We start from the raw sequence: 17225 nt of genomic DNA, 5'->3' as shown, positions 1-17225 counted from the left end.
AGCAAAGCACATCATTGTGAAATTTTAAAACACTGGTGCCAAAGGGAAGATTCTACAAGCTTCTAGAGGATTAAAAACAGGTTACATACAAAAAAAAAAAAATCAGAATCAAAATGGCTTTTGGATTTCCGAAAAGCTGCTTGAAGGCAGTGGAACAAAACCTTCAAAACTCTGAAGGAAAATTACTTACAATCTAGCACGCCAAACCCAGCCCAACTATCAATTAAGTCTGAAGACAGAATTAAAACACTTTAAGACAAGCAAGACCTCACACAGGCCTCCCACATACATTTTCTCAGGCATTTTCCAGAAAACGTGCTCTACTGAAACATGGGATTAAACTAAAAAGAGAAAAACTGGGACACAGAAAACAGGAGTTCCAACAGGAGATGGAGGTAAAGGAAATCCTGAAGATGATGATGGTGCAACGTCCTAAAAGGCAGTTGTGCCCCAGGTATACAGGGCAACCAATACAAACCAGAGCAGCAAAATTCAAGAGACAAACACCTGAGAGCTGTCATCACAGTGTCCTTGGCCACTGCGTCATCATATTCACCTGACAAGGCTACTGAAGGATGCACTCCACCCAAACAAGGGAGTAAACCAAGAAAAAGCAACACACAAGATCCAGGAAACAAGGAATCTAAACTGGGAGAAAGGCAAAGAGAATTCCAAGGAGGCAGTGAAAGTCCCTGGGTAACAGGCACACAGCAGGACTAGAGAACAATCTGTCCCGAAAGGAGAATCCACGTTGTTAGAAGGAGTATCTCCAAGAGAAAAACTGGACTTGATAAATCCCTGGACATGTTGACCTGTGGAAAGTTATCCTGAGTGGCGACTGAAAGGCAGAAAGCATTGGCAAATGGTACAAAACAACCTAAGCAAACAAATGAAAAAAGCAATTATTAACTTCAGGATATTGTGCATATTCTATAGTTTTCATTGGATTTTCAAAGGGGCTTTCCCTATATCTCAGAACCACTCTGCAGAAACACAAGGTACATGGAGACAGGTGATAAAAAATAAAAAGGGGGAGAATGCCAGGCCAAGGCAAATCATGCCCTGGACAATAAGGGAGGCATCAGAGGGCTCCAATACTGGGGAGGACATGAGCATTCATCAGTATGGGCCTTATCAGAAGAAAAACTGAAAGGGGGAGAAATATGAGGTTAATAAGCCAGTTAGAAGACTTCTACACTAAACAAAGAAGATCCACGAGCTACAGATAACAATGAGTTTAAATTTGTCCCAGCACTGCGCACAAAAAAGAAAGTACAAAAGCTGAACAGGATATATAAACAGAGATCTGATCACTGGATTAGTCAGAATTTGCTAGAGTCTATTAATGTCCTGGTCAGAGTTTCAATAAGCAAAAACAACTTGAAGAGGATAATCAAGTTATTCAATAAATATGTAGGCCTTGAGGAGAAAGGACAGACACAAAGTTTTGTTTTCTCTTTTACAATTCATTTTAATTTGAGAAGCATTTTAGGGGATACTGACTATTTGCCTATTATTGTAGGAGACACAGAGCAGGACTCAAAGTAGTAGACAGCATGATTCCCAAACAGGAAGTCCACACAATGGCTATGGAAGCAAAGATCAACACGCATGAAATAATTAGGAAGCAATATATGGCAGATCATAGTTAAGAATCAAAAGGTCAATGGGTAAGTTTAATGAGACTGGAAAAGAGATGGAAATCATTTAAAGGAATCAGTGAAAGCGCCACAGAGGTGGAGCTTGAAAGGAGAATAATACCCTACTTGTTCAAAGCAGAAATCCCAAACTTTTGTGAACCTAAGAATCATATGGGGATCTCCTGGGCTCCACCCAGAAATTCTGATTCTACATTTTTTTATAAACACCCCAGGCGATTCCATTAGGGTGGTCTTTGCATCACATTTTGAGAAGTTCTGATGATATGAATATATCAAGGTCTCTTTTGCTATAAAATCCATGCTTCTGTTTGCACTGATGGATGGTGGGTTTCAGTGATAAGGAAAGTAGGAAGACAAGGTTGAGGGTACAGGAGTTCCTGCTGAGGGCAAAACCTTGCTGCAGGTGCACAGGCAGGAAAGAAGCAAGTCTATCTGAAGAAGATCAGGAATCTAGCTTGGCTGATGTAAGGAATCCAGGGAGGCAAGGAGGAATCAGCTCACAGAGGGCCTGGAAAATAGAAATTGTCAAAAATTGATCTTCTAGACAGGAGAACAAGAGGAAACTCAATATGGCAAAAAGACCACCCTAGTAAAAACATCATTTTTATAATGTTTTATAAAAAACATAGAATCAGAATTTCTGGGTGGAACCCAGGAGATCCCTACATGCTTTAGGTTCACTAAAGTTTGGGATTTTGATGTTTTTAAACAAGGAAGCAATGGAAAGAACATGCTCACAGAAGAAGGGAAAAGATCATGCAAAGCATGCAAAAAATTATTTGTTCTCCTATTATAACTGAGTTTGAAGTAGACTCCTGCTTAGGAAAGAACACAGGATCCTCACCTCTGTTCCGCCTGCTGTTAGGAGCACACACGAAATGGGATTTCAAGTTCTACCCCACCTCCAACAATATGGTGACTACAGACCTTCAGCTGCCTCTTTGAGTTTAGCCACTAGATGGCAGTGCTTACCCTTCTTTTAGTTGGACAGGCCGGCCAACTAGCAAGCTGAATTGGGCTCTCTCCCCAGAGTTTAATACACACACAAAAAGTTCCACATTAATTCCAATTTGTACTTTCCCACTAAGAAGGCAGCAAAGGTGGCATAACCATAGCCTGGGTGGAAATCAGGGTGGCTGGCATCTTGCAGGAAGGTCAGAGGCCAGTTATAGAGGATGAGATGCTCCCATTCCAATTTCCTATGCATCTATGATCCAGGAAAAAATGCTAGAAATCAGCCTTCCCTGGAGGTACACCATTAGTAACAGGCAACCTGGCCACACAGCAGAGTCCCAGACAGCAGGGCATGGGGCCCGGTTGGATTGTGCCCAGAGCACACCCCCAGAAGGTCCTCTCCACAATAGCAGGTACCACAGGAGAGGACCTGGGCCAGAACTCACCAAGCAAGGGGCAGGCTTCCTCGTCAGAGCCATCTGCACAATCTCGGTACCCGTCGCACACCCAGGTGTCCATCACGCAGGTCCCACTGCTGCAGCGGTAGTAATTGGGCAGACACGTGGAGGGCCCAGGAGTCGAGAAGGGAAGAATATGTGAATCTGAGAAAAACACCAAGCACGGAAACCCAAAACATTAGAAGCAGCTTGATCTTAGACCAAATATGTCCCAAACCTAGTGCGGATGTCCCAGTTTTAGCTGTACCTGCTGAGGGAGGCCAGTGACTGGCACAGCTCTGAGCAGCGGCTAATCTAGAAATCATGTATAATGGGTTGTCAGAAGAGGCAATATTCTTTTCCCTTTTGGGGAGTAGATTTCCCTTACTATATTTGATTTCGGTTAATATTCAGATAAGTTTGCTTTTGCAGGGGCTGGTGAAAGAAACAGGTGGCTGAGGAGGCACAGGGTGGCTAAGAGAATTCCTACTGAGGCAAAGCATTGTGTTCTAGTTAATTCAACCGCAACTACTCCACGACCTGGTTCAGAGATGAGAATGCCAGAAAGGAAAGGGGCAAGTCTGCATTCCACATGAGTGCTCCTCAAATGCATTGTGGAGCACACAGGACCTGGGGGCTTATTAGCATGCAGATTCTGACTCTGTAGGTCTGGGGTGAGGTCAGAGATTCTACATTTCTAACAAGTTCCAAGGAGATGCAGATGCTACTGGTTGCAAACCATACTTTGAGTAGGAAGGCTCTAGACTTCTCACTCTGCCCTGCAAATACGGAATAAATAGCCTGAAAATAGGAGAAACCAACCACACTTATTTCAAAATGAGAAAGAGGAACAGAAAAAATTTGAGTCACTCCTCTCACAAAAATATGCCCCCCAAAACACGGAATCAGCCAGGCACATCCTGCATAGCTGGTGGAACTATTCTGGTGTGTCTTGGTTATGGGGCTAACCCAGGCCCCAGGGGCCTCTTACCTCCACAATCCTTCTCATCAGACCAGTCCCCACAGTCGTTCTCCCTGTCACATTTCCATCTGTTGGGGATGCAGTGGCCATTCTCACACCGAAACTGGAAGTAGCGGGAGCAGTTTGGGGCTTCTGTGGGGTTTTCTGCAGAGATCAACCACATCATCAGTTGCTTTCCCTGCATCAGTGTGAACACAGGGCTCCAACTCTAGGCATCCTCCTCCAGACCCAAGTTCCAGGGCAACCCACACTTCCCACCCATAAAGAGATAAGGCAGCTTCATGGACCCAATGGGGAACAAAAAATACACCTACAAACTAAACAAAACCCCATCTTCCCAGCCCCTAACCCATGTTCCTCTGATCTATACTACAATATCCTGAGAACAATCACCTGAATTTTAATTCTGACATTTTACCAAAGGAATAAAACAACTATTGATGGTAATCCAATCATGACAATAACTATTACATTGTGGCCTGTCACTTTTAGGGGGAGGTCACTCCATAATATTTACCATAATTCCTTATCTACCACCTTCCTTATACATAATGTGGTCTTCCCAACCACAGAAAGGAAAGGAGATCAAATAAACTTTTCCCTAGCACCTGCTGGGTGCCAGCTGCCCCCTTCAAGACTCAACTCGTATGAGTATTCAGGAACTGGCAGCAACTGCTGCTGAGTTACGGGAAGGCCAAGTCTGCAGTGGGGTTGCCGGTGAGTGTCCCTGTAACTGCAGGCATCACTGTTAACTAGAGGATTAGGATGTGAGGAGGCAGACTGGACATCTTACCGCAGTTGGCTTCATCAGAATAATCGCCGCAATCATCCATCCCGTCGCACTTCCAAATCAAACTGATGCACACTCCATTCTGACACTGGAAACCGAACTCATCACATACCTTGTGGAACTCAGGATCTTGGGCTACAGAGGGAACAAACATCCATGAAGTCCAGGAACTTCCATGCTGAGGGGTCGAAGCAGCAGTGGTGCCCAGAAGCAAGGGGGAACAGCAGTGAGTTCTGGCAAAGGACTGTCTGGCTAAACCATGCCTTGAAAGCAAAAGCCAAACCTAATCTAAACAGAGCACACACTTTGTTAATTAATCCATTCCATGAATCTTTACCGAGTCGTGTTATGAGCTGAGTTTATCCTCCCAAAAATCATGTGTTTAAGTCCCAACCTCTAGTCTCTCAGAAACAGGACTGTATTTAGAGATAAGGGCTTGAAAGAGGAAACGTTAGAATGAGGTGATCTGGGTGGCCCGAATCTAATAGGCCTGGTGTCCTTACAGAAGAGGAAATTTAGACACAGATGTGTACAGAGGAAAGACCGTGTGAAGAGCCAGGGAGAAGGCAGCCAGGCAGCCGTCTATGAGGCCAGGGAGAGAGGCCTCGGAGGAACCCAACCCTGCCGACACCTTGATCTTGGACTGCTAGCTTCCAGGCTTGCAAGAAATAAATTTCTGTTGTTTGAGCCATCTGGTCTGTGGTACTCTGCTACAGCAGTCCCAGGAAACAAATATAAGAGCTGCTCCAAGAAGGGCACTATTTTAGGAGAGGGCCATAGCAATGCACAAAACAAGCCCCTGCTCCTGTAAAGCTCAGGCAGCAAAATGAACAGACAGGTCCAAATTGGGGCAAGTTGTGACAGGATCATCGAAGCAGGGTAAGGGGCTACGGCACGCTGGGAGTGCCATCTGATACAGTACTGGCAAGAAAGGCCTCTCACTTTCAGCGACCCTTGAGCCAAGACCCTGGTCACTCGCCATCCTGCCCCTTATACATACACCCACAACTGAAAAGCAGGATTCCTTAAGCAACAAAAGAAAGTCTTTCTCAGAAAAGGCAAGCTTGGATGCTCAACCTAGACATGTAAGCTAAATAGAGGTGCAACTCCAGGGTGGTCAAACCCTCGACACTCAACCAAGACCTGTCAGTTATTAAATAGAGACACAACCCCAGGGTGGCCAAACCCCCATGCAAGTTCTTTAGTGACCGTGAGTCACCTCCCCTGCCTGCCCCAACTCACAGCATCCTGCAAACGCCGCATCCTCATCGGACCCGTCGCGGCACTGGATGATTCCGTCACAGACCATGGAGTGGAACAGGCACTGCTGGCGGTTCTTACACACAAAGTCCATGAAGTGCGTACAGAGGGGCTCTGTAAGGGATCCAGAGAAGGGAAGAGGCCATGAGCACTGCGGCTGGCTGGGCCCTCTAGCCCTGGGCAAGTGCACACGAGTACAGATGTGGCTTCAGGAAGCAACAGTAAAAGCCACAATTTATTGAGCACTTGTTTTCTGCCAAGCCTAGAGCTAAAGCATTTGACATAAAGTGCATCATTAAACCCTCAAGACAACATTAGGAGAGATTTTATTGTCGCTAATTCAAAATGAGAAAACAAGGGCAGTAGCATTAAGTATTTTGCCAAGAGTACACAGCTGATGAAGATGAAGCCAAAAGTGAAATCCAGAGCTGTCTGGCATCAAACCCCCAATCTCAAGCATGATTAATAGATACTGACTCTCTAATACGGGGGTAGGCAAATTTTTCTGTAAGGAACTAATATTATGGAATGCACTGTGTTCCCCCAAAATTTGTATGTTGAAGCCCTGATCCCCAATTTGACTGTATTTGGAGATAGGGCCTTTAAAAAGGTAATGGAGGTTAAATGAAACCATAAGAATGGGGCCTAAACTCAAAAGAATTCGTGTCCTTTGAGAAGAGAGAGACACCAGGAATGCCCACACAGAGAAAGGGCCATGTGAGGACACAGCAAGACCTTCGTACTTGAACTGCAACTGGCTCTCTCCAAGGTTTGCAGCCTGACAGCCTTTGGACTTGAACTATATAGCCTCAGTGTGTCCCTGGGTCTCCAGCCTGCTGGCTCACCTAGCAAATTTGGGACTTGCCAGCCTCCAAAATTGCATGATGGTTCCTTAAAGTAAATCTATATATATACATATGCATATCCTATTGGTCCTATTCCTCTGGAGAACCCCAACTAACCCCAACTAACACAACTAGAAAGCAACTATTGCAGGGTTTTCAGGTCATACAGACTCTGTCACAACTGCTCAAGTCCACCACTACAGCATGAGAGCAGCCATATACAATATGTAAACAAATAGTAGTTACTGTATGCAAATCAAACTTCATTTAATAGAGCAGGTTAGGGACTGGATTTTGCCCACAGGCTAGTTTGCCACTCCCTGCACTGATAACATTAGCTCTCAACCCGGACTGCACAGTAGAATCACCAGGAGCACCATAAATGTCCCAAGTCCCAGCCACACCTACGCTAATTAAATCAGAATCTCTGGGGGTAAGGTCCAGGCACCAGGTGGTTTTAAAGCTCCCCAGGTGATTCCAATATATAATCAAGGATGAGCACCAGTGACCCAAGGCAATCTTTCTGGGGCTAAAGAAAACTGAAGATAAAAAGGGTCATCTGGCCTAAAAATGCCCCCCCCCCGCCCCCCCCCCCACTCTACCCCCAGTGATACTCAGCAACACTAACAAAACCAATCAAGTAGAAATAAGTGGCCGATTCAAAACAACTGGTCAATTAATAGAACATATTTCAACTAAACAATAACTTTCACTGAAGTTCGATCTAATCCCACCATCGCCCCCAACCCTGCTTTCTTCCTTCCTGCTCTCCTTTAACCAAACCCTGTCTCTCTGCCACGATCAGCCTCCAGGAGTCCTAGCCAAGTACTCAGGGATCAACTCAGTTAAAAGCTAACCACAAGCAGGTACTGAGGAAATGAAAGGATTTAGTCCAATATACGCTCTTCACTCATAATCACTAGGCCTGAGTGCTTCCTGGGGGCAAGGAATGAACTCACCGCAGTGCTGTTCATCGGAGCCATCAGAGCAATCACGCAGACCATCACAATGTTTGCTGGATGGGATGCAAGTGCCGTTTGGGCAGCGGAATCCATTGCACTTCTTCTCTGAAATAGAATTCAACAACACAGAAGAATGACGAGGAGGAAACAGGCAGGCACTCACACACAGTGCTGGCGGGAGTACACACTGGTACCACCACTGGGGAGGGCAATTTGGCTGTAACTAGCAAAATGACAAATGTATACACACTTTGACCCAGTAATTCTACTTTTGTAGAAATGTATTCTACTTCACAACTGAAAAAATAATGTAAATAAAAGTTTACAACCTTGTACTTAATATAAGTACAAGGGTTGCATTACAACACTGTTTGTAACAGGTTGAAAACCGCCCACAAGTACAAGTGTTGCATTGCAAAACTGTGTAATAGATTGAAAACAGTCCATCAATAACAGACTGTTTAATAAATTACTGTACACTGGAACACAGACAGCTATAAAGAGATGCAAGAAGTGCTCTATAAAAATTATGCCCTAGATAAACAGTTCTGTGAAAAAAACAAGGTGCAAAACAATACGCAAAGTTAAACATTATGGGTATGAAATAGGACAATAATACAGAGTATACTTAAATTTGTTTATATATGCACAAAAATATTCTGAAAAAATATACAACTTGGTTTCCTATTAGGAAAAAGTGGGAACTGGGCAGGTGAGGAGATCAACCTACACCTGAGAGATTATATCTTTTTGTATCTTTTCTATTTTGAACATTTCCATTTTGATAAGTGTGTGTGTGTGTGTGTGTGTGTGTGTGTGTGTGTGTATATACATTTTTTTTTTTAAGGCAGAGTCTTGCTCTGTCACCCAACCTGGAGTGCAGCGGCGTGATCACAGTTCACTGCAGCCTCCACCTCCCGTGCTCAAGCAATCCTGCCACCTCAGCCTCCTGAGTAGCTGGGACCACAGGCGTGCGCCACTGTGCCTGGCTAATTTTTGTATTTTTGTAGAGATGGGGTCTTGCTATGTTGCCCAGGCTGATCTCAAATTCCTGGGCTCAAGCCATCCTCCCGCCTCAGCCTCCTAAAGTGCTGGGATTACAGGCGTGAGCCACCATACCTGATCTAAGTATATTTTTTAGAAGAAAAAGAAAAGCTTCAATGAATAGAAAAAGCACAATATGAATCTTGAGTATGAAATCCTAGTTTTATAAAGCTATTTAAATCACTCACCACCTTAATTCTGGAGGAATTCTAAAGCAAAGTTGTTTTGGAGAAAGTTTGCCTAGAAATGCTAAGAGCCTGAGGTTTCACAACAGTTCCAGGGGAAATTAAACTACAACTAAGGTATCTTGATCAGAATCTTTAGTACTAGGTCACCCTTTCTCCTGAGCAAAAAGTTATTGCCAGGCATTGGACTTGAAAATCAGTTCTGGCCAGGCGCAGTGGCTCGTGCCTATAATCGCAGCACTTTGGGAGGCCAAGGTGGGCAGATCACTTGAACCCAGGAGTTTGAGACCAGCCTGAGCCACATGGCGAAAACCTCATCTCTACAAAAAAATACAAAAATTAGCTGGGCGTGGTGGCCAACCCCTGTGGTCCCAGCTACTCAGGAGGCTGAAGTAGGAAGATGCCTTGCGCCCAGGAGGTCAAAGCTGCAGTGAGCCACAATCATACTACTATACTCCAGCCTGGGTGACAGAGTGAGACCCTATCTCAAAAAAAAAAAAGAAAATCACTTCTAATGAGGCAGTCATAGATAGCCTTTGCAAACTGAGCTCTGTGTAGAATAGTTCCTTGAGGATTAGGTATAAGTATGAAAATGTGTTTTAATCCTGTAAAAAGTAATCATTTCTGGGAAATTAGCCAAAGGATATCAAACAGAAACAGTAAACAAGCACCACTATTTGGAGAAATGGTTAATGTCACTAGGTAGAAAAAGTATTTTAAAAGAGGTATAAATCAAAACTACATGAGGCAAACACACATATTACATTAGTGGAAGCAACTAAAAAGATACAAATCTAATATCAAGGAGACTTGGGGAAACATGCAACGTTTTACTGGTAGAGACACATTTGATGTAATCCCTTGGAAACCCAATTTGGTAACAGAGAGACTCAAAAACTGGTCAGAACCTTTCACCTTACAACTCCATACTGAAGAACGCCTCTCAGAAAATATCTCAAAGAAAAATCAGGCCATTTCCAAAGACACGAATAGTGGTACTAGCATAACAGTATAAATCTAAAAACCTCAAACACCCAACCAGGAAGCAACCATGTAAACTAGGTTATGGTAGCATAAAGTGAATATGCATCCTCCATGAAAATGCTTACTACACAAAAACAGAGTTGCATAAACATCTTTACTTAAGGAGTAGAATGTATAACAACATGTAGACAACTAACATCCCCTGAAAACTTGGAATGTTTGGCAAAAGGATAGAGAACCTTAAACATATTTGGTTTCAAAAAACATTTTATATATTTTGTTTACGTGGCAGCATTTTATATAGTTTGTGTGTGGGGCAAACTGCTTGCCTGCAACTCTTAAGACTATATAATATAATCTGATACATCATATGGCAATATAACATAGAAAGTAGATGGGCTTATTTGGTTTCAGAGTGTAAATACAGGCATAGGAGAACAGCATTTCATCCCCTGGCTCTCTGTGGCCTCTCTTCCTGAACAGCAGACACTGGGGAGGCTCAGGGAGGGAGCTGGGGAATTTGCATTTACCACAGTTGACTGGATCCTCATCGGAACCATCCTGGCAGTCCGTATCCCCGTCACACGCCCACCGCTGGGGGATGCAGTGCCCGTTTCGGCACTGGAAGTTGGAGGCCTCACAGGTGTGATAGATGGCTGTAACAGAGAAGAGAGACACAGTCGCACACCCCTCATCTCCATCCCCCACCAACTGTCCAAGGGGGTGGGCTGAAAAGAGGTTTGCATGAGGTAGGAATAAGGTCTGAACTGTGGGAGCATCTGGGTTTCTCCTTGGCTGAGAATTGGGCACTTGGGCTGACCTTGGGCAGCTCCCTCGGTGGACTTGAGCCTATGGATTTATAAACATGACCCAGGCCATTGCCCAGGGACAGATGCACACGTTAAAAAATCACTTGCTCTTCACGACAACCTACAAGGTAAGGATTATTCCCCTTTCACAAATGAGAACAGGCTTAGAGAGAATAGGAAAATTAGAGATCATTAAGTAGTAACACCAAGGCAGTCCAAGGCCCAAGCCTGCACTTCTTCTGCTATACCCTGGTAGTTTGCCTTCTCACCTAAGTCCTCTTACTCATCCAGATGCTGAGAAATAAGGAGCGGCAGCCTGTGCTCAGGAGACGGAGTCCTGGACCTGGTGCAGCCACTGTGTGGTGATCTCAAATTCACCATCCTTACAGTGAAACCTAAGGGCCCTGCTAAGTTCTGGAAGGCCATACATTACAATTCTTTAAAAAAAAAATCCAATTTCAAGTGTGAAAAACCTCAGGCCAGAGGAATATAAAAGAGTCATCCAAAATCACAAAGAAAGCAGGCCTAAGAACTTGAAATTGTCTTTCTGTAGAGTTGAGAGGAACATCTACCAGCCAATAATATGTGGTGTCCACTATAATCACTAGAAGCAAAAAAGAAGCTAGTGAAAGAGAGTCACTGTTAAACATGAACAGCCTCCTCTGCACACATGGGCTGAGGCCACCTGGAAGTCATTTAGAACCACCTCAAAAACTCAGTCAAACACTAGTTCAAATGCGTAATATGTGCCTCCAACCCAACCAACACTCCTAACGGTCCTCTCCATCTGATTTCCTCTTCCTCCTCTGAAACAGAAAGCTGTTTGTGTCTGTTCATTGCTGAATGCAAGCCAGGACTGGCCTTGTTTACAACCAGCATAAGATAATAGAACCTAGATAGACGGACTCTCTGTTAGTTTAACTGTGTGGAGAGGATGACACCACAACGGAAAGAAACAAAACACACAGAAGTGGGTTGCTGAGAGCAAACTATAGTTTTCTATTCAACTGAGACAGTTGGCAGTAAGCTGCCCAAGGACTGGGAAAATTGGTTTATGATGTCCTCAGGAATTTTACTGCATTTGAGGCTATTTTTTGCAATGGTCAGAAATCCAAAGAACCTGATTTTTCAAACCACTTTAAAACAAGTGGTAGCTCATTATCTATGTCTTCCCATCTCTCCAAGGACCAAGGCTGTATTTGGCAGCATGTATATACAACTATAAGAAGTTTCAATATTTACAACCTTTGGCACTCAGAATCCATTAAACATCTTTAAAAACTATACTTATTTCTGATAAGAGGAATAAATGTATCATGCATGTTACATGAGTTTCTGCCCCAGTAACAGCCATCGCCTGGAATACTTTTGATTTATTCGTGTCACAAGTCTGACAGCCTTTCAAAACATCCCTCACCGACACCTTGCTCACATTCATAAAATATAAAGTTGCCTAAACCAATTGCCATACTAATCTAGTTATTATTCAGCCTCTGCATTTCATTTTTAATTGAAAACCATTTCAGAGTGCTAGTGAAGTTTCCAAATGACAATTCTGGGAGGCATGGCTGAGATCTCCAGATTCTATCACAGAAGCTGAGCTCAGAAAGAGTAATCAGTTTGCATTCAAGTGGCCAGGTATGGCTGGAATACATAACGCATTATCTTTTTCTAGATTTTTCTATCTTCTTAGTAACTTATGAGCTCTGATTTTGAGTGCCCGGTAAATACTGCATGCTTAATACATATTTTTTTTTTAATTACAAGGATGGAAGAGATGGACTTTAATCCAGACTGAAGAATTTAGGGAAGAAAAAGAATCCTCTGCATGGTAGGATTCATTGTAACTATAAGAATGGTGAAGTTCGTGTGGTAAACAATCGTGGAAATCTAACATCAGTTTCTAATATAGGTCAATATCCTACAACTTAATCTTTGACTCAGGCAGAACTTTCCTGATTCATCAAGACCTGCTGGAATGCCTGATTAAAAGCATTAACCAAACATGAGCAGAGTAGAATGGATGAAATAAGTAGTATAACAGGGAAAGTACTGCCTTATTTCTTACAAAGCGCTAGACTATAAAGAAACGCATGAGGCGTGGTAGCTCATACCTGTAATCCCAGCACTTTGGGAGGCCGAGGAGGGTGGATCACTTTGAGATCAGGAGTTAGAGACAAGCTTGGCCAACATGGTAAAAACTCATCTCTACTAAAAACACAAAACTAGCCAGGCCTGCTGGCACACATCTGTAGTCCCAGCTACTCGTGAGGCTGAGGCAGGAGAATTGCTTGAACCTGGGAGACAGAGGATGCAGTAAGCCAAGATCGCACCACTGTACTCTAGCCTGGGCGACAGAGACCCCGTCTCAAAAAAAAAAAAAAAAGTGTATGAGAAGGGGACCAGGTGCAGTAGCTCATACCTGTAATCCCAGCACTTTGAGAGGACAAGGTAAGAGGATCACTTGCACCCAGGAGTTCGAGACCAGCCTGGGCAATATGGCAAAACCCCATCTCTACAAAACATACAAAAATTAGCCAGGCATGATGGCACATGTCTGTAGCCCCAGCTACTCAAGAGGCTAAGGCGGGAAGATGGATTGAGCCCAGGAGGTCAAGGCTACAGTGAGCTGTCATCGCGCCACTACCCTCCAGCCTGGGAGACAAGACAAAACCCTGTCTCAAAAAAAAAAAAAAAAAAGTAAGTGCATGAGGAAAAAAATGACTATCATCACAATTTGAATGATTAATGACAGAGAAGAAAAAACATAAAGTATTAAAAAAAGAACACTGAAAAATAAAAGGCAGATTTGAAAAAGAACCAAACAGAAATTCTAGATACAAAACGTATACTCATGGAAATAAAAAAAACAGCTCCATGTATATGTGAAACAGCAGATTAGAGTTAGCTGAAAAGAGAATTGTTGAACTGGAAGATAAATCTAGAGAAGTCGCTCAGATTCTAGCACAGAGTCATAAAGAGACAGCAAATATAAAAACAGGAGGGAAGAGAACAACAGAATGAGGCAGTCCAACGAATGGCTTAGAGTAACTGCTGAAGACAAGACCAGAGAAAGTAGCCAACAGGTATAGTTGAAGAGTTAGTAGCTGTAACTTCCCAGAGTTGTCTTTCGAAAAATTCTCAGATCTTAAAACAAACAAAGTCTCAAGCAGGATAAGTAAAAATAATTCCACACCTAGGTAGGTAAAACTAAGAGCAATATAACCTAAAGGTAATTAGAAAGAAAAGAGTGTCTGTTATTATTTGAACAGACAACTAAGAGCAGAATTCAAATCAACACAAAAGAGGCCAGGAAGAAATGGAAGAATTCTATGAAAATACGGAAAATTACTAAAAGCCTAGAAACCCAGACCCATTTGAATTCAAGATTGAGGATTAAATATATGTCTATAATAACAAAACCTTGAAAGAGTTTGCCACTCATAGACTCCTGCTGCAAAACCCCTGAAGGATGTACATTGGTGGGAGGCATTAGCAACAAGACACAGAGGTAGTTGGTAATACCTGTGTGCCTATGCAGAAGTGTGGTTATTTAAAAAGAGTAACAGTGAAGTTTAGGATTTTTTAATATAAAACTAAAATACTAAATATTTAGTGTTTAAAATACTAGGTATTTTAGTACTGGAACTGTAGGCAGAGATTTGGATCAAATTCTAAAGTCCCCATATATCTAGGAGAGAGGAAAGATGTTAAGAATACAAATAAAATGTCTACAGGTAATTGTCCTAAAAAAACACACAGAAATCAGATGTACACGTTTAAAAACAATAGCGGTGGGTTGAGGTGAATAAAGAAACAGCCTCGTGGAAAGTAAAAGTGGCGAAAAGAAAAGCAAAGAGGACGCACAGCAGAGTGCGCATCCAAGCTGATGCCAACAGGAGGTCAGCTACCTTGACCTATTTCTTTTGGCACTGTACGCAGCTTAATTTAGTAGGTCTGAAAATGAGGTGTCATGCCACACATCACCATGAGCTCACATCTGACCTCCAACTATTTTGAGATGACAGAGAAGGTGGATCATCCTTGAAAGGTTTGGAAGAACAGCCCTTGGAACAAGGCTGCAGCTGAGCAGCAAGGACTCTTAAGTTTTCTCCAGTTTGCCTTGCCGGAAGAAAATCAGAGAAAAAACCAGGAGTTTATACAAGCTTGCCTATAGAAATGAAGTAATCAATTCATTCTGTAAGACCGGCACATGCTGCTGAAATGCAAATTTGAGTAAGGCAGTTGTGTTAACAAGATGTTCAATCATACTGCAATTTACAAACTGCAATGTCCAAGTGCACCCTTCTAATCTATTAACTAAGTATCCATCCAAACCCAAAGCTTCCAAACAGCATTCACGTGTTTCCTGTGCCAACGGCAGCTCCTTTATGGGCCTCGGTTCTTCCTCCTTCTGCAGACCATGCTTTAATATACAGAGAGAAGCATTTTCCTGCAGTCTTTTCAGAAGCAGAGGTGCAGACACAGAGGCTGCGCCAGAAAGAACATGGGTGGACTTTACAAGCGAACAGGATTTGGTAACACCACAGAATATCCCATGTGATGTATATGGCATTTGAAGAGATCTATTCACTCCCTTAAGGCCATATGAGGTCACCTCCAAACTAAAAGGAATGGAGGGAAGCAGTTGCATAAAATTACTCAATCCACAAAGGTTCTCTGAGCACATACTCTATTATGTGCTGGACACTGCAGAGAATACAAAAGAGTAAAAGAAGAGGTCATCTCTCTCCGTGGGGAAGCAAGTCTAAGCCAGAGCATAATGCACAGTTATTTATCCTTAGGTCTGAGATATAACAGATGTACCTTCTTTGTATTTCCTTTTACCAATTAGTAGGCGTGCTTTGAGCCGCCAGATGCCGGGCAGTGTAGGAAGTGCTGGGATACTCTGGGGGCAGAGGAGGTTAAGACATGAGATTTAAAAGTCCAATAATTCACAAGATTAATAGCTGGCTTCAGATAATTGAGAAGATGACTCAACAATGAATTACACAATGAAGTCTGAATTATCCGAGTGTAAAAACAGATCTGTCCTTACCATGAAATGTTTAAAGGAAACATCTTTATCTCCCTAGTCCAAAATCACTAGAGGGGTTCAAGACAGAACTGAATAACAGCTTCTCAAGGAGGCTGTAGAGCAAATTTACTCAATGAGTAATAAAATCTGGAACAAAAATTCCTTAATTTTTGTTTTTTGGACAAATTACAATGGGGTACAAAGTGATGATTATAAAATGGAATTTGTTTTCATTTCTCCACAAGCTTCTCAACTCCTTGCACTACCCACTGCCTATCACCCCCAGTCTGCCCTGCCCCATCATAATATATCTGGCCACCATTCATCCACTCATTCATAAAAATAATGTAATGAACATAAGCGAACCCAACAAAAGAATGAGAACACTACCCCTACCTTATAGCACCTAGCACATTCATGTTGTTTCCATCTTTACTTTTAATAAAATCTTACCCAAAACGGGTACAAACACAGTTTACATTTTCCTTGTCTGGGGAACCCCCTGATGCTCCATTTTAAAAAACATGAGCTAGTTCAGTGCTTACTCAAAGTATGGACCCCAGCCGAGGGGCTGGTCTGAAAACTGTTTAACACTGGTCCTGAATGAATAAGAAGCTTGAGCCAGAACATAAATCAACGATATCACTCAGAACACTGTTTAATCAGTTGAAAGCAGGGTGTTGATTTACATTCTGGCACAGGTTCCTTATCTCATCAAAGACCAGCTCTTTGAGAAGCATGAAACTCGCTGATTTCTAAGGTCCAAGCTAATTCTCAGAGCCTAGATTTTCCGATCGTTTAAAGCTATAATGTTAACCACTGCATGAACGGATGAGTGCTGTCAACTGAGTCCAGGAAGTACTGACCGGTACAGTTGGCTTCATCAGACCAGTCCCTGCAGTCGTTGTCCCCGTCACATACCCAGGAGGAGCGGATGCACATGCCGGAACTGCAGTTGTACTCGTCACTCCGGCACTGGTGCATTTCTGCAGGTGAGACCATAAACAGAGAGGTGAGGACAAAAGCTTGTTCAGAATTTTGTCTCTGGTGTCAAAGCTCTCATAAAGGATGGAGATGGACCCGTGATCACCAATGATCCACAGAGACCATGAACGAAGAGACTTTTACCAGGGACAAAAGGTCATTTAACAGCTTCCAGTCAGTGTGCTGCAAATGGGTTACAGGTGGGCTGAGATTCTGAGACCCTCAGACCCTTAGAGCTGCTTGCCTCTTGACAACAGCATCCTTGTCCATTCATCCCAGTGCTCTCCACA

General features: G+C 43.1%; 1 protein-coding gene across 1 annotated transcript in view, besides 1 other annotated feature; it reads right to left on the bottom strand.

The window, feature by feature from the left end:
- The window catches only part of SORL1 (sortilin related receptor 1), a 181450-nt gene that overhangs the window by 39546 nt on the left and 124679 nt on the right, over positions 1-17225 (bottom strand). Inside the window, exons 25-31 of the mRNA NM_003105.6 lie at positions 16818-16937; positions 10635-10760; positions 7889-7996; positions 6067-6198; positions 4828-4959; positions 4044-4178; positions 3062-3217 (exon numbers count right to left, since the gene is read on the bottom strand). Coding sequence (NP_003096.2) covers positions 3062-3217; positions 4044-4178; positions 4828-4959; positions 6067-6198; positions 7889-7996; positions 10635-10760; positions 16818-16937 — 909 coding nt within the window. The remainder of the gene's footprint in view (positions 1-3061; positions 3218-4043; positions 4179-4827; positions 4960-6066; positions 6199-7888; positions 7997-10634; positions 10761-16817; positions 16938-17225) is intronic.
- Positions 4255-4354: an enhancer, noted in NCBI's record as "active region_5662". NCBI's record gives its function as "activates an Ori minimal core promoter by ATAC-STARR-seq in GM12878 lymphoblastoid cells {active_cell/tissue: GM12878}" and the evidence as "EXISTENCE:reporter gene assay evidence [ECO:0000049][PMID:35858748]".

The sequence above is a fragment of the Homo sapiens genome, chromosome 11 (assembly GCF_000001405.40).
Source record: "Homo sapiens chromosome 11, GRCh38.p14 Primary Assembly".
NCBI classification, from domain to species: Eukaryota; Metazoa; Chordata; class Mammalia; order Primates; family Hominidae; genus Homo; species Homo sapiens.
The sequence above is the reverse complement of the archived record's forward strand: the minus strand, read 5'-3'. Positions and strand labels throughout refer to the sequence as shown.